Consider the following 22,872-nt stretch of genomic DNA (forward strand, 5'->3'; position numbering starts at 1 on the left):
GGGATCTTGTGAAAGTACAGATTCTGATTCCACATGCTGGAGTGGGTTCCGAGAATCTGCATTTCCAGTAGGCTCCCAGCTAATGCTTATGCCAAGGCTGATGACGAACCACATTTTGAGTAGCAAGACTTAAAGATGTTTATCATTCCTATTTCTAAGAATCTTCTCCATTTACCCTAGGGATTTCTTTTCTTTACTACTGGGGGCTGTGAATTGTATTAGAAATGGAAATGGGAAGGCCTCTGTAGTTTCCAGTTAACCTAGCTGTGTAATCTTGGACAAATTATTTCTCAGTTCCCTAAGCCTCAAGTTTCCTTATCTGTAAAATGGGCCTGTCACCTGTCACAAAATGATGTTGTGAAGCCTGAGGGAACTGCGAGGCCATTGTTCAAAGTAGACTGTAAATGGAGACTCCTAGGTGCAAAAGAACTCTTTACTTAGGTTTCCTTAGATTTGTAGAAGTCAACACAAGCAGTAGGTAGTGAGTGGTTCCATGTACCATCATGCCTCAATGATATGCTCAAAGATTGTTTCCATGACAAAACTGCAGATGGAGGCCACTTATATTAGACAGTCTACATACTTTATTGAAAGTCACATGAATGAGCCCCAGGATCTCGTTTGTTTTATTATTTGGATATAGCATATGTCTTTCACACAGGCAATCTTTCTAGCCCTCTACTAATGTCCTTGGCATCAAGTGCTTCATTTCCCCCAGGAAAATGAAGGCTTTTCTTTATCGAAAACTTATCTTTAAGGTATCTTGTCCTTCGCGAAGGACATGAACAGACACTTCTCAAAAGAAGACATTTATGCAGCCAAAAAACACATGAAGAAATGCTCATCATCACTGGCCATCAGAGAAATGCAAATCAAAACCACTATGAGATATCATCTCACACCAGTTAGAATGGCAATCATTAAAAAGTCAGGAAACAACAGGTGCTGGAGAGGATGCGGAGAAATAGGAACACTTTTACACTGTTGGTTGGACTGTAAACTAGTTCAACCATTGTGGAAGTCAGTGTGGCGATTCCTCAGGGATCTAGAACTAGAAATACCATTTGACCCAGCCATCCCATTACTGGGTATATACCCAAATGAGTATAAATCATGCTGCTATAAAGACACATGCACACGTATGTTTATTGCGGCACTATTCACAATAGCAAAGACTTGGAACCAACCCAAATGTCCAACAATGATAGACTGGATTAAGAAAATGTGGCACATATACACCATGGAATACTATGCAGCCATAAAAAATGATGAGTTCATATCCTTTGTAGGGACATGGATGAAATTGGAAACCATCATTCTCAGTAAACTATCGCAAGAACAAAAAACCAAACACCGCATATTCTCACTCATAGGTGGGAATTGAACAATGAGATCACATGGACACAGGAAGGGGAATATCACACTCTGGGGACTGTGGTGGGGTCGGGGGAGGGGGGAGGGATAGCACTGGGAGATATACCTAATGCTAGATGACACATTAGTGGGTGCAGCGCACCAGCATGGCACATGTATACATATGTAACTAACCTGCACAATGTGCACATGTACCCTAAAACTTAGAGTATAATAAAAAAAAGAAAAAAAAAAGAAAAAAAAAGGTATCTTGATTCTCTCTGAAATTTTTTATTATTTCTGATGTTTTTTTCCAGGCTTGTAATGTGTCAAGGCCACTTATCTGCAGCTACCTTAGAAGTAGTATAATTGATCTATGTTCTCTCAAAAGCAATTTTTTCCTAGTCACAGAACTATTTCTTCTTTTACTACTTTATTTGTTCTAGTTATTACAGAATCAAAGAACTTCTTGAAAAGAGAATACTTTCCCATGATAACCAATTACTTTAGAAATACTCTGCATGACACTATAATTGAAATTAGATGCTAAGTTTTGTCCCTCAGTGGCTGAACACCCCCAACCTTTTAAAAAACAAAAACTTCAAAAATAAAAATTCAATATTTCTTTTTGTAAGCCATCTCTTGATTTTGCTATCACCACAGAAAAATTTGTAGAGATTTGACCCCAATACATCAAGTACTGCAGAGGCACCAAGACCTTTTCTGCTTCTAAAACTGCATTTGTGGATGTCACCAGTCTCTTAGGCTGAAACTGAAACTGCCCATGCTACAACCTTGGCGAAGTATGGAGACACCTGTGAGGACCTTTTTACTTTTTGAAAAATGGCAAGCCAAGGACTTAACAACTGCCAACTAAAACACAAATCCTTCACTTCACAAAATAAAATTAGATGATCATCTTAAAAACATTACCAAATGTGCAAGCTGAATATGAAGAGAAAGCCTAACTCAGGAATATCTTCCAGCCCAGTTTGCATTTCCATATAAACTGAACCTGCACCCCCTCCCTCCTTCAAATGTTTGCCTTTCAATATTTTGTTAGGCAGGCAAGAGTCAAGAGTCATGCCAACTCTAGTAATGTGGCCTCTGTTCAAACACCTACCACAGTGTGGCAAAGGGAAAACAGCATGGGCTAAGAGTGGCCTGGATTCAAATCACAGTCCTTTTATTTACTTTCTATGTGCCCTTGAGTTGTTTACTTTAGCCCCCTGGGCCATAATTTCTTTCTCTGTAAAATGAGAATACTTGCATGAATATGAAACACTGAGCAGTTAATAAATACGTGCTTAATAAATGTTAGGTTCTTTGTTATCCCTGCCAGTTCATCACTTTCAGTTCATCCATTGCCAGATTCTCTAACTTGCTGGCCAAGGTATGTTGATAATTTCCTATAGCTGCCACTCTTCTATTATCACCCTCTTCCCATAGCCTCTGCAAAATGACTGCCCATCCATTAAGCCTAGGGCAAGCCAGTCTCATTCCATGATAGCATGCCTCGCCACAGAAGCTTTTTGCACTTTAAGTCAGAGTGCCAAAGGCAGGCGTTGAAATTCATTCTTTGGCATTCTTAAGGTATAGACCAGAGCAAAGGCAGAGCTACTCAGCCACTGCTCCCTGGCCTCCAGGCAGACTGCTGGTCCCCAGCTCTCCAAGATAGGCCCTTGATCTGTGTCCCAGGCAACACACAGCAATCTCATGACATTTCTGGGACATATTTTCTACTGGGATCACAGCAGCTTTCTAGGGCTCTCAATAATCTTCCAATGTTTGCATCGGTGATTGTGGTATTTTCCCCCAAGAAAACCAGAGTCAAACCATGTTTCTTTAAAGGGACTGTGGCCCTATTAGCCATGCTTTCATGGCCAAAATCTGCACACCTGTCTGCTTTATTCAGGATAGAGCAGGGAGGCCACAGCCCTGAAACAAGGGCTCAAAAATCACTTCCTAGGTGAGGTCAGTAAGGCCTCACAGAGACTACTATTGGGGGCAAGCAGCAGGTGAAATGATGGTCACTTGACTCTTTTACTCCTGGTTTCTTAGCAACCTGGCCTTTGAGACTGGGTACAGTGGAGTGAGTTCAACCGGGCCACCTGGATATGCCTTGATTTAGAATGGCATCAAGTTTCCACTCAATTACTTTCAAAAAGGCTCTCAGTGTACTTGGCCTTACATGTTCCTAACTCACCAATAAACCATGTTTGGAATTCAGTCTTGAAAATGACTACTGCCTTTCAGTAGCACTGTTCCAAATGCATCTCTGAGTGGGTTTGCACATGAGTGTGCATGTACTCACTCTCTATCTCTTTATCTAGGTTTATCTGTCAGTACTATAATCAGTGCACTAACAGGGCCTTGGTAGAAGAGTGCAAGTAGGAAAGCTCTTTCCCTCACACTGGGCAACATTATAATTATACAGACGCTACAGACAAGCTACGGCCCAGGCATCTGCATAGAAACAAGTACTGATGCTCTTTCCAGCAACTTCCCTTCAACAAACAGGAATTAGAAATGTCCATTCCTCAGATTTCTGCCCCATTACACCAATTTTTAGGTCCTTTCCAATAATAGAGATAGCAAATGAAAGGGACCTGGCAAGGGTTTATGTCCTAACATTTTTCACTTGGTGGCAAATATTCAAGAAAAAGGGTAAAAGCCAACCCCCAGAAATGATGGCCACTAAAGCCACAAACCACAAGGTCCCTTGCTAGATAAGTGTGATATAATGGGGAAAAAAAACTTGCATAGGAGCCTGGGACCTGAGATCTTGTACTGGTGTGATCACTACCTTGCTCTGCCTCAGTTCCCCCGACTGGAAACTGGGCAGTTGTTAGACTAAATGATTTTGAAAAGCCCTTCCAATCAAGGGCTTATATGGATTGTAAAAAGAGTATTTTACTCAAGTGCTGTGGTTCTTGACTTTTTTGGGTCACGAGCCCATTTGAAATTTAGCAGAACATTATGGACTATCTCCCCAGAAAGGGCATATTGTCATGGAATTGTGCATACCATCTCAGGGGCATCATGGAGTTTCTGAGTCCATGGACACTGGGTTAAGAACTGCTTTTTTCAGGAGATAAAAGAGTTTATGTGCAGAAGGCAAACATGAAGCAGCAGTGACAGCTGCCTGGCCTCAATCCACCTTAACAATTTTTCTAGCATTTGACCCCAAAATAGAACTCCTACAGGACCAAACACAGTCTCCTTTTTTTAAAAAGAAATGTGTTCAGCTTTTGTTTGTTTCTTGATTGCTTGACAGGAAGCTGTCAAAAAAAAGGAGAAAGAATAATCCAAATAGACCTAGGCTTTTACATGCAAAACATGCTTTGCAGATTTGTCCTAAGTGGCTGCATGTAACAGCAGGAAGGCCACCTTCCTAAGTCCACATGGAGGTGCTGTGGGGGCATCACTCATCCCACTCATAGCCTCGCAGGAGCAGACGGGCTCTTGGCAACATACTGCAGCACCAGAGCGCTGACATGGCACCAGTGTCCATATCCTCAGTAGGAGACATGTTGAGATTCTCCAATGTTCAGCAAACATTTCTATTCCCTTCCAACCAAGGTAAGCAATGGCCCCAACTCAAGTGGCCTTCAGTTCAAGGTAAGACCCCTGAGATCAGTCTTTAGCCCCAAATCTCTCAGAGTTCAATGGCCCTCTGAGGAAGCAGGAAGTTCAGGGAAGAGTTGAAAACTGAGCTCCCCTCTTCAACTCAGGTAAGTGGATATCTTGGTTTTGGCAGAGTCTGGCTTGAGGGAGTCCAGCTCTTCACAGTGTTATAGGAACTCAAAACAGACCTTCTGAGGGGATGAAGACAGAATACAAAGGAGATATAAACACCTGTCTAGGACATATGCTCCTTATTTTATGGCCTCCCAGAGAGAGTCTGAAAGTGCAAGGCTAGGAAGGAGCTGCTCTTCAACACAAAATGACTCCGCACACAAAGGTTTGAAGAAGAAAGACTCTTTCAGAACCTGGAAAGGGTCCTCTGAGGCCAAGGCTTTTAAAACCTGAAAGAGAAAGAAGAGAGTAGGGAATTAGCGAGGACTGGTCAAGTACTTAACAGCCACTGATCAGTGGGGCTTCTCTTGGTAGGTAGCTAAGCCTATAATTGGTAGCTCATCTTCTGAGCAACAGCGGATTGCTGGGCAAAGGCTCTTACAAGTCAAATCTCATGAAACAGGCCTAAGATGGTGCTATGACCAGGGCTGGACACTTTGTGCCTTTGACCTCAACTCAAACTCCCCAAAATCTACATGGAGAAATAGAAGCCTGATACTAGAACCTCTGAGATTTCTTCCCACATCATGCCCACTGCCTTTATGGTCATACAATAACTATAAACTTCCTTTTAACAGGGACTTCACCTCCATAGGGGCTGATAAGGAGAAGCTTATCTACCCACGGACCTCTGAGGACTGGCAGTGACAGGGAAAAAAAGAAGGTTAGGGAGCACATGAAAAGCCAAGCTCCAGATACTTGGATCTCATTTATGTGTGTTATCAGGTCACATCATGCCAGCAATCTGATAGTCAAACAATCAGAACTCCTATGATAGAGAAAGGAATTTCCCTGACCTCTGAGTCTCCTGTGACCTTTGCAAGTCACTTATCCCCTCTGAACTTCAGTTCCTTTATTTGTTGAGTTAGAACACATATTATCCTCCCTTCTCCTGGCATGTGATATGCATCAAATGAAATAATGAATGTGAAAGTGCTTTGCATTGGACAAACATAAAGGACTAAGAATGAAGGTTCAGGTGGGTAAGACTGAAATAATGATTTGGTCTGCAGGAATGAATCCATCTACAGACACTAAGGTAGCCTCTTGGCATCTGTTATAATATCAGAAAGCATGTTCCTGGTTTCCTTAAAGGCCCGAGAGGTGTCAGAGTTAGAAGGTTCCAACCTTCTCATTTTAGAAACTGGGAAACTGAGGCTCAGAGAAGTAAATGTACTTTCCCAAAATGTCACAGCCTAGGATTCTTAATAAATTTGATTCAAAGGCAATCTGTAAAAGCGTGCCATAGTTTGGCTAGGAGAAAAAGAAATGAAAGAGGAAGGTTACTTAAAATCACACAAAACCTTGGAATTGAAAGTCACTAAATTTAAGGGTCAGGCAGTGATAGAGTAATGAACTGAGGCGTAGAAGTGAGTTCCCACCCTTCTGATCTACATGTTATTCCAGTCCTCAAAATATCAGATCCCGTAATGAAGGCTTATGTGGAACAAGATTTTGTAATCAGGGATGGGGACTGCATACCTGTAGCCTCAACTTTCATCTCCAGGAAGTCTGCCTTGAGAACTGTGGATAAAGAAAGACGTTTCACTAAGATTCTAGAAATCAGGACTGGAAAGGTAAATTGGGGGAATGGGGGACACTTCTAGGCCAGTGCTAAAGAGGCCATTTGAAAAATGGAGAAGTGATTCAGCCCAGATGTTTCAAAACATTTAGCTCCATGCTTATAGTTGGGGCTCCTTCTCTGGCAGGCTTAAAGAGATGTGAAGACATCTTTCAGGTGCCAGAACAATTCTCTGAGTACCAGACTATGTGAAGCTTGGAGAACCCAGGGAAGCTGGCTGCAGACCACGAACTACATTCTGTGATGATCTCTAACAGGGATAAGGGTGAGGACACAGACAAGTACCATGTGAAAGATGAATCCTCCTTTGCCTAGAAGACCAAACCAACCTTGTCCAGCCTCTTGATGTGCTTGGATTAGTTCTAAATTACCCATGTCTGGGGACAGCTTGGGGAGGAGAAAATCTTGGCAAATGAAACCCACTCTAGTGTGGCCAGAGCATTACGTACAACAGCTGGTCCCCAGGGCTATGTCCTCAACCTTCTGTTTTTCTCTTCTCTCCAGTCTGTTTACACTTACTCCCTGGAGGATCTTATTCCCATCCATGGCTTCAATTGCCACCAAATACTAGGGACCTCCCCACAACAGGCTACTATTCACATTGTAGCATATGTGACTAGCCCCACTCCCCAGACTTATATAGTGGCTATACTCATATTTCTAACCCCCAAATCTATGTATACATACATCCAGCTCCAACTGCTAGCCTAAGTTGCAGTTACCCACTGAACATCTATCTCTACCTAAGTCTCAAAGTGTCTTTAAAAAATTTGTATAAATTTAACAACTGTGTCTTCAAAATCACTGTGTCCAAAATTGAGCTCAGCATCTTTCCCATAAAACCTGCTTCTCCATGATTAATTATTGTACCATCTACTTAAGTGCCCAAGTTAGACTTTTCTCTTTCTCGGTTCATCAATGTTCCATGTTTGAAAATGTAGCAAGGTCTTATTGAGTCTTTCTCAAATCTGTCCCTTCTGTTCCATTCCCACTGGGAATGCCATAGGCCAGGGCTTCCCCAACTCTTGCCAGGACAATTAGTCTCCTTAACTGGTCTCCAGTCTTTACTCTCCCATCTATCTTTCCCACTACCAAAGTGATCTTTTTACAACTTGGTCAGCTCAGAATGTGACTGTCATTCTTGAAATTCTTCCCCCCTTTCTATGACTCATCCGCATATGGACTGCAGTATAAAGACCAAGCACCTTAGTATGTTATACAATGCCTTCACGATCTGGCTCCAATCCATCTTTCTGGTCTCACCCCCAGCTAAGTTTCCCTCTTTTCACTCCCACATTCTAGCCAAAGTGGAACACTAATAACTTCTGAAACCATAAGCTGTCGGGCCTCTTTGAAATGTTCTCACCTCCTTTATGTTCTTGATGAGCCACTACTCATTTTCTTCTTAGTTATTTATGTTTAAATTGTGTAAGGGAAATGAATAAGGGGGTGATGTCATTCAAACGCTAGGCCGTAGTCAGGTATACAAATGGGGACCAAAAAGGGGCAAGACAAAGTTTAAAAAGATCATCATTTTCATTAGAGATGAGAGAAGAACTTAGCAACAATGACCATAGACGGGACTGACTATGTGACTGGTCTGAGGATCTTGATCAGAGGCCAACCTGTGGAAGCACTGATGCAAGTGGTGGTTACAAGGTGGAGGCCTAGATGGAAGGGATGCTTTCCCTATGTGGATGCTGAGTGGGAGGAGCCTGTGGGTACTCAGGATGGTAGTTCATGACATACTGGAGAGCAAGTGTACCTACTTTGGTCTTACCTACATTCCTGCCAAAATGGAATCTAGGAATAAAGAACAGGATTAAATCTAGGTTCTGGAAGCCCAGACATAGGGTGGGTAGAGTGATATTCTAGCCTGAAGTGCCTGCTTTGGCCATAGCCCTTGTAGGTTGTGCTTGATCTAAGGCTTCCTCGAGCACTGGCTGACAAAGCCCAGCCCATTGGTAGTGGCTACCAATCTTTTCACACTCTCAACACCAGTTTGGCTATAGCTTCCCTCTTGTAAGTCTACCTGCCTTAAAAGTTCTATTGGACTTTCTTCATGCTTCTTACATATTTCCTTCTCAATGCCTTGGTTTCCTGTCCAAGCTTGCAGATCAATAACTGCCCCCACAGCATTTTTTCTGTCTAGTTCTATTCTTTTTTCAAGCCCCAACTCATATATCACCTCCTCTAAAAAGCTTTCCTGTAGACATATCCAGTTCATTCCAGTTTACATCGTTCTATTTCCTTGTTATTTATTTCTCAAGTGGCTTATTCTAGGAAGGCATAGGCCACCTTATTAAGAATATTTGAGACTCTCTTCGTCTCCCTTCTTCTTTTCTTTTTCTTTTCTCAAGAGAGATATTTGATTAAGCTTACTTAAAAAACTTCTGAGGTGAAAACTTTTATCTTCATGCTATCAGTAAGAGAAATCTGGGGCCTTGATCTGACTTTCATCTGCTATGGTAGAATGAATGGTAAATTATTGTCTAAGGAGAATTTGGCCCAGCCTGAGGTTCCAGGTGGCTCACTGACAATCAGAGCTAGAATGAACTGCTGTGCAGAATCATGTCCTAGTGTGTCAGTTCCCATAGTTTTGACTAGAGGATGGAAAATCTACCCCAACTCCACTGCTGGGAAAGGTATATTGTTCTGCTTTTAACTGACCACCTAGAAGAGTTCTGCTCCTGTCACCTGTTAGGAGGAACAATTTCAAACTCTCTGATAACCAAGAAGGAACAAACTCACAAAAGAGTCCCTGAAGGCTAACCAAATATCTCTCCAGATGTTCTAGTCCAAAGGGTCCTAAATTCCAGGCCTTGGACAGTCTGTACCAGCACTTGAGAAGTTTTAATAACAAACTAATGGAAAAGAAGAAAGGGAGGGAAGGAAAAAACAAAATAAAACAAAAAAATCATATTCCCAGGCCCCACTACTAGAGATTCTGTTTTAGTGGGTCTAGAATGAAATCCAGGAATATGTGACTTTTTTCTCCATGTTTCCAGGTGACTTAGATGTGCAGCCAGTTTGAGAACCACTGCCTAAGTCCAATGTTTACCTTTGAAATGGGGGCCCTAAGGCTGTTTATCTTAGAGTGTAATATTCTACATATCCCTGTCAGCTGCCCTTTGAGTATATAATGGAATCTAAATAAGTAAAATAACAAAAAAGTAAACTAAAAAAAAAAACTAACAAAAAATATTGGGTGTAAAGTCTTTGAGATACTGCTTGGTGTGTGTTCACATGCACATGCACACACAAGTGTGCACAGACATATGTGCTTGTGAGAGAGAAAAGGGAAAGATGAGCAGAGAGAGAGATGAAGAAATGAAGAGGCAAAGAGACAACAGATACAAAGAGACACAGGAAGAGAAAAACAGAGACATATAGAGTGACATGAACAGAGAAACAGACAGATAAAGACAACTATGGGGACACAGGCAAAGAAACACAGACAGACAGAAAGAGATTGAGAATGACAGAGACACTGGCTGGGTGCAGTGGCTCACGCCTGTAATCCCAGCACTTTGGGAGGCTGAGGTGGATGGATCACCTGAGGTCAGGAGTTCGAGACCAGCCTGGCCAACATGGCAAAACCCTGTCTCTACTGAAAATACAAAAATTAGCTGGGCATGATGGCGTGCACCTGTAGTCCCAGCTACTAGGGAGGCTGAGGTGGGAGGATCACTTGAACCTGGGAGTTGGAGGTTGCAGTGAGCCAAGATCGTGCCACTGCACTCCAGCCTGGGCAACAGAGTGAGACACCATCTCAAAAAAAAAAAAAAAAGGACAGAGACACCAAGTGAGAAAAAGAATATGAGAGAAACAAATAGACACACAGGTGAACAGGTGACAGACAGATAGGGATGGAGAGACAGAATTGGGGAAGAGAAAGTGACAGACAGAGACAGAGCTGTAGAGAAACAAAAAGAGAAAGATGTTAGAGTGAGCACAATTGTATGCTAAGGATGCAGTTATTAAAAGGCGATTTGGTTTTTCTTTTGTCACCTCCATATCTTACCTTCCTGTTTTCCGGGAAGCTGTTTCAAAAAACCTGGTCCTGGAAGCCACCCTGCAAACAGAAGCCAACCAAGTCCCATAAGTTGCTTTGGTATACACGTGAGAACCAATGGCCAACAGAAAGGACAGGAGACTCTGAACCAGATGGGACACCAATGCCAGCCCCTGCCTTTGCTGGCAAAGGCCCTACACATACAAATGTGAAATGGCCCAGAGCCCATAGGCACCCCTAAGGCCATAGCTGACACTCTTTATCCCCATTGCTTCAGAATGGTCTGAGTATGTTGCTGAGTCAGGCTCTTCTTGGGGGAAATAAATGAAACCAGTCTTGATTTCAAAGTATAATTGTTGGCTTTTTGTAAATATAGTAAGCTAATTAGTCAAAGCTGTGGAGGCTTTGTTCTTCTTTTTCTCCAATTTTACAATTATGGAAAACAAGAAAGACAAGAAAAAGGAAGACCAGGAGGCAGTATACTGAGAATGGTCCCAGTCGATAAAGAGAGGACAGGCAAGCGCGTTGTGGCCAAGCAAAGCTGGTCCCTGAGCACTGCTGTGGTCCCACCCTAGCTGCTCCTTCCTTGGTTCCTTGGCTTGCGGCCCAGCCTCAGGAAGGTCTGTTGCACATCAGCTCAGCTCCCACCCTGTAAGAGACTCTCTGGAGAACCAAAGTCATTTTGAAAAAAAATTTAAATCATACCCTTTGCTTAAAATAAAAGCCTCAAGCATAAGTACAGTGAATGAATCTGTTCATTAAATTACTTTTAAAACCAGTAGAAATAACAAGAAATTTTTTTAAAAAATATCCTGAGCCAAGGAAGCTAAAATCAGAAGGTAATAATATCACCATACAGAGATAAAGGAAGCTAAGAAAAATGGGTCTCCTAGCAGGTACTAAGAATCAAAGGTTTCAGCTTTAGAGAAATCCCTCAGCTTTGAGCATTGAGTGGAATACTCCCAACAGGGCTGGCCTATGATATTTCCCTAGACTATAAAGTGAAGGATGCCCCAGGGCTGTGCACTGTATACCCTTAATATGGTGATCCTGAAAGCATTCCTAGTGGCCTAGTACAGGACTTCAGTCAACTTTGAGGTACAACCCTACTTACACAGATGATGTGATTTCCCCCGCATTGCCAGCCACAATATCTGGCTTTGGTTCTGGCTTTTGGGGAGTAGCTGCCCGGCAGGGAGGATCTGGGGGCCTCACTGGGGGGCGGATGATGGTTGGCTTTTCTCCTGGAGGCCGCACTTTGCTGAAACTGTCAGCATCCCCTGGAAGAGAAAATGATACCAGGAACTTGGATGGTTAGCCAAACAGAACACTACTCATGAGCAGGCACCCAATATGAGAGTTACCTGGGCCAACTTCCTTGGCCTCCATTTCTTCTTGGTGACTAACAACTCTGGCTATTTTTTTTTTTTTTTGTAATTTTTCTGGCAACTGTCCCTTCAGAAAGTCTATATTTGAACCCCAGCTCTGGAGTTTCAGATATCTTGGGTGTGTCATATCCATTCCCTAAGTCTCAGTTTCCCCAGCTATATAATAAAGATCCACAATATATTATCTTACAGAGATAGTGGGAGGATTAAATCAGGTACTAATATGTTTAGTGCAGGGCCAGGTACATAGTAGGTGCTTACTAAATGTCTGATGATGATGAATTTGAATTGCTTAAATTCATCATCACTGATATCCAGGTCCTTTTCACTTAGGCCTTGACTATTATAGTTGTTTTCTAACTCACTTTCCTGCCTCTGTGTCTTTAGTTTCCTTGTCAGTTAGTACAAAATAAATATAAACACTTTTTAAATAAGATGGTTCTAGTAGGACTATAGTGAAACAGGTAAACTCACACATTGCTGGTGGCAATGTGAACTGGGCTTATTTTATCTAGAGGGCATCAAGGATTCTGGAACAATGTGGATGAAGTACAAAATCATACATATGAGACGGTTCATACTCGTTGATCCAGTAATTTTGCTTTTGGGAACAGGCCCAAATGGACTAATCCAAGAGGCAAAAAAACAAAAAAACAAAACAAAACAAAAAAAACACTTAAGAAAAAGCAATTGGCACAAAAACATGCATCTTATCAGAAAAAAAATCAGACTTAACCATAAAGGCTAAACAAACAATTCAATTCATACAAGCATTTAACCAATACATATTATGTGTGAACTGCCAAAAATTTAGACCAGGTCAAAACAAAAACAGGCATACAAAATAATATCAAGTGAAAAAAAAGTCCACAGAAAGTGCTCATGGCCTGATGAAGACCATACTGAAATAGACATGTACATAACTATGCAAGGGTGTCAGTGGATCTTTATATTCATCCATTTTTTTCTACAAAAATATTTACAGTAAATGTAAAAACATACTAAATTGAATCTACATATACAACTATAAAATTTAATTTAAGTATTTTTACACTGTTTTTCTGCTCTTTAAAGACTTTCCCAACAGCTCTAAAATGTAGAAGATAAAAGTTTAAACTCCTTCACAGAAAATCAAGGCCCTCCTTGAGCTGGTCCCATATTACTGTCCCAAGCAGTAACCCTGGATTTTAACTATCAGTTCTACTCTAATCAAATTGGTCTGCCTACTGCCCCATTAAGGCAAACCCTTGACTCTTACTTCTAAGTGAGACAGAGTCTGGAGTTTTGTAGACCTGGCTTTCAGATCTTGTTCTGCTGCTTCCAGGTTGTAGGACCCTAGACAGGTACTTCACCTCTACGACTGTAAATTTCCTCATCTGCGAAATGAGTATAAAAACCCCTCCTCTTCATGCAGCCAACAGACACATTAAAAAATGTTCATCATCACTGGTCATCAGAGAAATGCAAATCAAAACCACAATGAAATACCATCTCACACCAGTTAGAATGGTGATCATTAAAAAGTCAGGAAACAACAGGTGCTAGAGAGGACGTGGAGAAATAGGAACACTTTTACACTGTTGGTGGGAGTGTAAACTAGTTCAACCATTGTGGAAGACAGTGTGGCGATTCCTCAAGGATCTAGAACTAGAAATACTATTTGACCCAGCCATCCCATTACTGGGTATATACCCAAAGGATTATAAATCATGCTACTATAAAGATACATGCACACATATGTTTACTGTGGCACTATTCACAACAGCAAAGACTTGGAACCAACCCAAATGTCCATCAATGATAGACTGGATTAAGAAAATGTGGCACATATGCACCATGGAATACTATGCAGCCATAAAAAAGGATGAGTTCTTGTCCTCTGTAGGGACATGGATGAAGCTGGAAACCATCATTCTGAGCAAACTATCTCAAGGACAGAAAACCAAACACCGCACGTTCTCACTCATAGGTGGGAATTGTACAATGAGAACACTTGGACACAGGAAGGGGAACATCACACACCAGGACCTGTCATGGGGTGGGAGGAGCGGGGAGGGATAGCATTAGCAGACATACCTAATGTAAATGATGAGTTAATGGGTGCAGCACACCAATATGGCACATATATACATATGTAACAAACCTGCACGTTGTACACATGTACTTCAGAACTTAAAATATAATTTAAAAAAAAAGAAAGAAAAACCCTCCTCACAAGGTGATTTTAAGGACTCAATTAGATGACCTATAGACAATGCCTAGTATACAGCAGAGGTAAGTAAGCGTCAGACTCTGTCCTGCTTCTTGCCCTATATGTGTCCCTATTCTTATGTCTCCTGTGTATTATAATCATTCCTCAAGACCCAGCTAAAATCTCAACCCTCTGAACACCCTAGTAGGTATATGTAATTCACATCCATGTAAATGTTCGTGAAGTTCTTATATATTAATATGTACGTTTTTTAAAAAATTCATCCATCTAGCCATTCTGGTGAGCAAGATATATATGTAAAGAAATAATGATAATACAGTGTGATTGGTGTTCTAATTAAGGAAGAAACAAAACACTATTCATGTGCACACATATGAATTGTCTCTCCATTTAGTCTGCATCTTACGTTCTGGACATGTCATTCCCCTTAACATCAGACTGGGTATACAGCATTGCAGCAGAAAAAATTAACCAAAATGATAATAATAATCCAATTCTTCTAATATACTTTATACTATTCAAAGCACTCTCCCAGACGATAACTGCTTAATGTTTACAATAAGCTTGAGAGAGATGAATAAATAGGTCTTATTATCCCCATTTTACAGAGAAGGAAACTGAGGTTCAGAAAAGTAAACTGATTCATCCACAACCATAGGTTAAATGGTAGAGTGAGGGCTGAAACCCATACCTCCTGTTTCCACACCCACTGCCTTTCCAGTTGTCTGCTGTTTTGTTATCATTGGTAATATAAAAATTATAAATTATAATAATAATAGTAATGGTAATACAATAGTACTGGCAAAATTTTTTTAGCTAACCTTTATTGAACAGTTGTTCTGTTCCAGGTACTGTGATACTGTACTCAGTGCTTTATGCACATTTTCTCATTCAACACTGGCCACAATCTTGCAAGACAGAAAGTATTATCTCCGTTCTACAGCTGAGGAAACAGAGACTCAGAGATGAAAAGTAACTTCATAGTTGATCAGTCCATCTGATTTCTGAAACCTATGTAGTCCCAACTACCACTGTTCTTCAACCCTAGTGAAACATTAGAAATATGTAAGGAGCTTTAAAATTGTAAAGTACCTGGACCCCACCCTCATACGTCCTAGTTTTATTGATTAGGATGGATCCTGAGCATGGGTATTTTTAAAAGCTTCCCAAGTGATGCTATGTGCAGCCAAGATTGAGGACCATTAAGCCATATGATGTTGCTTCCTCACTGCACCCCACAGAGTAGCAGAGCTGAGAGTGCTGCCCCATTTCCACTGGTTACTGCTGGGAGGCGGAGTTGTGGAGGGGAAGGCAGTAATTGTAAAGAAATGATATGCTGGACTGTTAGAGCTGGAAAACATGTCTACCTGAAACCATGCCTTGATGAGTGAACCAGATGACATCCCTAAAATATGAACCCTATTCATTCCCAAGTTATAGCCACATCCTAATGAACATGAACCTAGGGCCTTGGAAAACAAACATCATTAACCTCATTTCCTCTTGGGCCCTTTATTGCTACCTCCAAATGATTATTCATTACAAGTAAAGCTTTGAGGTAGCAGCAAAGGATTTTCTTGGCTGAAGACACCGATGTTGTTCTCTCTTGCCTCTAATGTGTCTCAGTCACAGTTAAGCCACAGTATCAAACTGGTGAGGCAGAAAGGGGAGAGTAATGTAACTGGTAGTCAAGAAACCTGGATTCTATGATTAATACTAAAACTAACTTTCTGTGTGACCTTCAGCGGATCATTTCCTTACCAGTATAACATGGGGATTGGACTGTTTTTCCAGATGAATGAGCCAATGATCTAAGTCTATAAGCCTCTATCTCTCCCAGCTGACTTTTTATTTTTTAAAAATATACTTCAAGTTCTAGGGTACGTGTGCACAATGTGCAGGCTCGTTACATAGGCTCGTTACATGTGCCATGCTGGCCTGCTGGACTGACTTAAATGTTAGACCCAGCTGACTTTTATAGGCTGTTTTTGAAGTACTCTACATGTACTTAACCTGCTTTAAAATAATTAATCCCTCTGTCTCTCTCTTTTTCTCTCTCTGAAACCTAAATTGAACGGTATTCAATATGGGGGTTTTGTGAGGGCTTTTGTGCCCAACCCTACACTCTAACACACACACACACACACACACACACACAAAGACACACAAATGACCCCTGCCCTCTAGGAGCTCAAAACTGAGTTGGGGGATATAAGTCATATTCATGGGAAACAAGTGTGAATACTATAAACTAGCATCCACATTAGAGGGTCAATCTTGGGTGCCAAAATATGTGAATCAAGGGAGAGCTAACTGGGGTAGGATTGTCAGAAGGCTTCATGGACAGAATGAGACTTGAGTTAGACCTTGAGGTTAGTTCGCCTCTTCCTAGGTGTTTGGCATGGTAGGGACAGGTTGTGGGTTGAAAATATAACTCTGAACTCTTTTATGCCATCTACATTTTAGGCTTGAGGCTTCTCAAAGGGCCTCGAATACAGAAGAGTAGACACCCCATCTTCCATGTCTGCCATTTCCTAAGAGGTTGTTACCTAGTAATACTACCACTTCTTAAGCCTCTATTATTTTACCAGATTCTTTGTATACCTAATCTAATTTAATCCATGCAAAATCCTTGCCTTCAATGGTGGTATTGTCCCCACTTACAGTTGAGAAAACTGGCTCAAAGAAGTAAAGCTGAACTAACTAAGATCAAGTAGCTAGTAATAGTCTCCTATGAAAGCAAAACAACTGCTATCATTTACTGAGTACTCTTGATGTGCTAGGCATGTAGAGGACTCACTTTGTTGTTATAGCAATCCTATGGGCGCAAATACTATCCTCATTATACAAATGAGAAAACTAAGGTTCAGAGAGGTTGTAACCTGCCCAAAGTCCCACAGCTAGGAAGAGGCAGAGCCAGGATTCAAACTCACATCTGGAAGATTCAGGAGCCTGAGCTTTTAACCACTAAGTCACTTGAGCCTATAGGCTTTCCACCAAGCTGTACTTCTTTTTAATTTCTTTTCAACTTTGGTCCGAAACCTGGCTTTTACTACAAACTTGATCTCCTTCTCAAGCCCCACCTGTTCCCTCTCTCTCTAATCTCTGTCAAATGACCATAACCAAAGAATCTTAACATTTGCAGAGTTCTTGGGACCTGATGGTCATCAGTATTCAACCTTAGCAACTTTTTTCCACCTTTCCTTATATTCCTCTATACCCAACCTGAAGGCACAGAGTAGGAGGAGGTTGATTCCTCTTGTAGATTCCCCCAGTCACCTAGAATTACCTCTTTTTTTCTATGACACTCCTCCATGCTCACCTTAAAGCCTTCCTGCTTCCTTAGCCATTATTTATCCTTATAAAACAATTTGGCGTTAGGCTCCAAGAAAAGTAGAGAATAAAAACCAAACAGTAGATTATTAAAGCATAAGTCCAAACAAGAAAATGTGGATAATGGCCAGCAACACCCATTACTGCAAGAGCAAGTCTGTTCCTAATACTTTTAGAGTAGATGCAAATGCCACTCATAACATTAGTCACCTCAGTGGAGAATTAATGGCTCTGTGACTGAGCAAGGCCTTACAAGCCCAAAAGCATGCCACCAGATGCAATCTTTCCTTTCCAGCCAAGACAGAGGAAAGGAGCTAAGAAGGGCCCCTCAACCCATATGTCATAAAGTCCCAGTCCATGGTGTGCTCTTCACTTTCATCTCAATACCTCAGGTAGAATGAAGGTCTCCTTGCTCCATGCTCCTACTAGAATTTCTTCTCACCCCTACTAGAACATTAATCACATTGGCTGGGACTGACTGCTTGCATGCCAGTGTCACCACAAACCTTTGGAAGGCAGAGACAATGGCTTTTCATTTTTGTCTCTCCCTTTGCATATGATTATACCTGATTAAATAAACAAATACATGTAAAGTAGATGGGATATAGCCCTCCTCCCTCTTCATTACCCAAAGGAAAGTCCTAAATCCCTTTGCGGTAGCTACATGCCTGCCCTTTGCAAAGCCAGGACACCTAAGAGGCAGTAAACTCAAATGAAGGCAGAAAAAAATAGGCTTGTATAATTTTGTACCCCCCCAAAAGTAAGTGGTCCTTAGAAAAACAGAAAGGAGAAGATGGCCAACGCTGCTGAAGAAATATGGTATAAAGAAAAAGAGTCCCAATCTTGAACCCAAGAAGCTGAGGTCAAGCCCCATCTCTGCACCTTACAACCTAGGTAACTCTGAGCAAGTTGTTTTGTGTCTGTGAGCCTCTGTTTCTCCATCTATAAAAAGGGGAGGGTAAATCATACCTCACAAGGCCTATCACAATGATTAGACGCAACAGAAGAGTGAAAGTATCAAGCTCATGTCTGGAACAGAAAAGGATCCTTGATAAAATTCCATCAGCAAACACTACTGATTCTTATTTTAAAGTTGACTGTCATGGAAAAAAGCAATTTAACATGCACCATGCTTTTGTTATTTTTAATTGCTGAGAAAAAATGTGAAGAATGTTAAGGCCACTCAAATGTTAAGTCAATGCAAGGGGTGAAGATGGGGGCAGGACTGTGGCACAGCTGGCTCACTAATGCAATGGAGCCTGTGTACTGATCCTCAGGATGGCAGGCAAAGTCCTAAACAACAGAGCTGAAATGGGGTGACAACTGCAAGGTACAGACTGGGCTGGCTGAGGTAACAGTTCCCTCCCTCTAATACTGCCATTCAGGCTACTGGCCAGTACCAGGAGCAAACAACTACCAGTTATAGCACAGGGTCAGAGCTGTGTGTGGCTTTTGCTTAACCGATAACTCTTCAGATGCCAGGGAATCTACTAGGAGAAGCAGCCAGAATCAGGAGGGGAGCAAGGAGGAAGTAAGAAGTGAATAGATAGTGTAGGTTAGGTTCAAAGAGGCAACTATACCAGAGGTTTGGGGGGTTCTCCACCAAGGCCAAAACCACCTCAGTTCTGCTTTCTGTAGCCAAAGCTGGAAGCATGGGGTTTTGAAAAAAAGCTGCATCGTGCCAGCCTGTTGCTAACTGATTGAAAGCAGAAAATGAAGCCAGGCAAAGCTGAGGCCCAGATTTAGATAGTTAGGCTGATACTGAACAAGTCAGATCAGTACTTACATTAGCTGAGACCATTAGATCAGAGTAGCTGCCGCCAGCAGCCCAGGGTAGGACTGGAGGAAGGGGAAGAGGGGAATGCCACTGGGATTGAACTTTGCAGGAGGGAGGGAAGGAGGGCTGAGTTACTGTGTGCGCTGAGCTGATAGAATCTGGCCAGTCTCAAGGCTTGGCAACAGACAAGACAAATTTTACTGTGACGAGTATAAGTTGAGTTACCCAACCTTCTACCCAGATTGATAGGAAGGTCACGACATGACTTAAAAACAGAAGCAGAGGTCTACATTAAAGTTTTCCTTTTCTTGGCTATGTCTCAGAAGAGCCAAGTCATAGTGAGAAGAGGGACAGGGGAGGGAAATCAATATCATATTTTGAATGCTGATTATACGCCAGATATTTTGTCATTCCTTTTAATCCTAGCAATAATAATTCTAACAGGTGAACTGTTTTCCCATTTTACAGATCTGGAAACCAAGGTACAAACAGCTTACATAAATTAACTGTGATCGCATGAGTGATCACATCAGCATCAGTGGATCAAACCAGAGCATTCAGAGTCAACTACTTGTGGAAATTGTACTGGACTTGTAGAAATTGTACTGGACCCCCTCCCATCCGCACACTGAATAGCTTTTACTAAATTGTGCTCTGAGACAATGCCATTGGTTCATACTGAGGTTGTTATATGAAATAATCCATGGAAGAAATTTTTCCCTGGCCTCAAAACCAGAAAAGTTATGGCTTACCTGAACAATTGGCTTGCTTTTACCTTAGGAACTTAGTTATATAACCATTGGTTTCTCTCTTTTTGTTTTCTCTAGAAAGTTTGGAACCAAACCTGTGACACTGCTCCACCAAGTGTTTAAGTATTCATGGCAAATATTTTGTATACTAACTCCATTCCTGCCATTTCCTTGCTATCCTACCTTCTCCCAACCTCCCGATTCCCATTCTGGGCCTCATGTTTTCTTATCAGTACTCTAGAATCTAAGGTAAAGGCCAGCAAACTTTTTCTGTAAAGTGTCAGACAGTTAATATTTTAGGCTGTGCAGGCCATGAAGTCTTTGTTGCTACTACTCAATTCTGCTGTTGTGGCATGAAAGCAGCCATAGACAACATGTAAATGAAGGGGTGTATTTATGTTTATGGACAAAGTTTGAATTTCACAACATTTTCATGTCAAAAAATATTATTTCCTTTTTAATTCCAAACATTAAAAAATGTAAAAAAGAATTCTTAGCTTACAGGCTATATAAAAAGAGGCAGTGCAGTGGGCCCAATCGGGTCCACAGGCCATAGTCTGCCAAGCCCTCTTATCTAAACCTCAAGAGGACAGGGACTTCATAAGTCTTATTCATTTCTATGTCTTCGGCATGTAGAATGGGGCCAGGTACATGGTCAGTACTCAATAAATATTTGTCAAATAAATTATTCTTAACCATTTTTTAAGGTTTTACATTTTGCTATATTGTGAAATTCCTTAAAGCTACAAAGTAAAAGAGCTAGGATTTAGATCCAAGCCTTTCTGATACTCAAATCCTTATTTTGTCCATTATATCTTACTATCTTCATAGAATTGTGTCCCCTAAAACTCCCCTCTGGATTAGCCCCAGTCTCTCAACATAAGTCTCAACATGCAATAGTTAATTAAATTTGCTGAAGTCAGCCACACCTTGAATTTGCAATAATTTCAAAAATCCAGAGTTTGGCAGAAGTTGTGCCCCTTTGTCCCTATTTCTCCCAAACTGGAAAGGGAGAATGAGAAAACAAGGGTTCACAGATTCATAGCTTCTTATAGGAAGGTAAAGTGATAGTTCTGCCTCAGTGGAAAGAACGCAGGCTTTGGTGCCTGTGAGACATGGTAAGATTTAGATCCCAGCTCTGCCAGTTATTAGCTGTGAATCTTTGGCAAGTCACTTATCTACAGCAGCCTCCATTTCCAAATTAAAAAAAACAAACAAACAAAAAAAAAAACAGGAATAATACATTCTTGGCCAGGTGTGGTGGCTCACGCCTGTAATCCCAGCACTTTGGGAGGCCAAGGCAGGTGGATCACCTGAGGTCGAGAGTTTGAGACCAGCCTGGCTAACATGGCAAAACCCTGTCTCTACTAAAAATACAAAAATTAGCCGGGCATGGTGGCAAGTGTCTGTAGTCCCAGCTACTCAGGAGGCTGAGGCAGGGAAATCACTTGAACCTAGGAGGCGGAGGCTGCAGTGAGCCGAGATCACGTCACTGCACTCCAGCCTGGGTGACAGAGTGAGACTCCGTCTCAAAAAAAAAAAAAAAGAAAATATTAAGAATAATACATTCTTTACAGTGGGATTGTGAGGATAAGAAATAGTATATCAGCAATTAGTACAGTGCCAGGCACATAGCACTTGGGATATAGAGGTCAACAAAACAGGTAAAAAATCCCGGCCCTCATGGAGCTTACATTCTAGTGATTATTGTGACTGATTATTGTGATCTTGCCCACTGTTCCAATATTAGTGGTAGTAAACTGGAACATATTTCCACTTAAATATATCTCCAAACTCAGAAGGATCTCAAGGTGAAAAGTAGTTAGGGTCAGCTCTGGCTCCCATGGGATTCCCAAGCACTTACCCTCCTTGTGGTGGGCCAGGGGCCGGGGAGCTGGTCTCTTTATGTGGAAAGAGGGGGTCTTGGTGGGCCCAGAGCCTGGCATGGGTCCATTGGTGGCCTTTGGGGTGATCTTGGTCCCTCCATCCTGCAGCCTAGACACCAACTTCCCCACGTCCACCTCTGGGCAGGGCTCCAACTTGCCATCCAAAATAGGCCTGCTTGGGGACTTCCTCCCAGGATCAGTTTCCCCACTCCTCTGAATAGGTAGTTTGGGGTGTTGTGGTGGCTTGGGGGGTTCTATGCTGCTGGTGATAGTACCATTCGGTGTTTGATGTTGGATTTCATCTAGGAAAAGTTGGTGCCAAGAGGGAAGATTAATGATAACTTTTAAAACCTTTTCATTTTGATACATGCATACATACTTAATTTTGAAAATTTGTATACATTTTCAAAGCAGTTATGTCACTGTGGCACAAACCAACTATATCCCACAAAATCATTCTCTACCCTTCCCAGTTCATGTAAAGCCACAGATCCAATCCAAATAGGGAATTCAAGATCCGCGTATGATTTTCACCACCACAATTCAATAAGCCACAGTAAACCAAGAGGTTTTATTAAAGGAATATGTCACTCAAAAAAGACTTAAAGTCCCCAGTCAATGGCATATTCTATTCTTTGCAAATGAAGACATCATCAGTTAATTCTTAACCACTTCTCTGAAAAGTATTTTGTTAAGGTCTCTCAAATTTTAAGTTAATCAACATAACATACTTTAACTTCGTTCTCCAACCCGGAAGGAAACCTCCAACTGTTCTTTCC

The 22,872-nt window shown here is 41.6% G+C and overlaps 1 protein-coding gene across 5 annotated transcripts in view, besides 1 other annotated feature; it reads right to left on the reverse strand.

The window, feature by feature from the left end:
• The window catches only part of OPHN1 (oligophrenin 1), a 391,498-nt gene continuing 369,187 nt past the window's right edge, over positions 562-22,872 (reverse strand). For 3 of the 5 annotated variants that reach the window (XM_011530961.2, NM_002547.3, XM_047442144.1), the window contains 5 exons: positions 22,072-22,395; positions 11,863-12,028; positions 10,758-10,808; positions 6,634-6,675; positions 562-5,381 (listed from right to left, as the gene is read on the reverse strand). In XM_011530961.2, the coding sequence (XP_011529263.1) occupies positions 6,642-6,675; positions 10,758-10,808; positions 11,863-12,028; positions 22,072-22,395 (575 nt within the window). In that variant the 3' untranslated portion in view covers positions 562-5,381; positions 6,634-6,641. The remainder of the gene's footprint in view (positions 5,382-6,633; positions 6,676-10,757; positions 10,809-11,862; positions 12,029-22,071; positions 22,396-22,872) is intronic. The other 2 variants (NM_001437258.1, XM_006724653.3) reach the window with 2 other exon arrangements.
• Positions 18,604-19,105: an enhancer, noted in NCBI's record as "NANOG hESC enhancer chrX:67280228-67280729 (GRCh37/hg19 assembly coordinates)". NCBI's record gives its function as "activates a minimal SCP1, AML or CMV promoter by ChIP-STARR-seq in naive H9 embryonic stem cells {active_cell/tissue: H9 hESC(naive)}" and the evidence as "EXISTENCE:reporter gene assay evidence [ECO:0000049][PMID:30033119]".

This window comes from Homo sapiens, chromosome X (genome assembly GCF_000001405.40).
Source record: "Homo sapiens chromosome X, GRCh38.p14 Primary Assembly".
Lineage (NCBI taxonomy): Eukaryota > Metazoa > Chordata > Mammalia > Primates > Hominidae > Homo > Homo sapiens.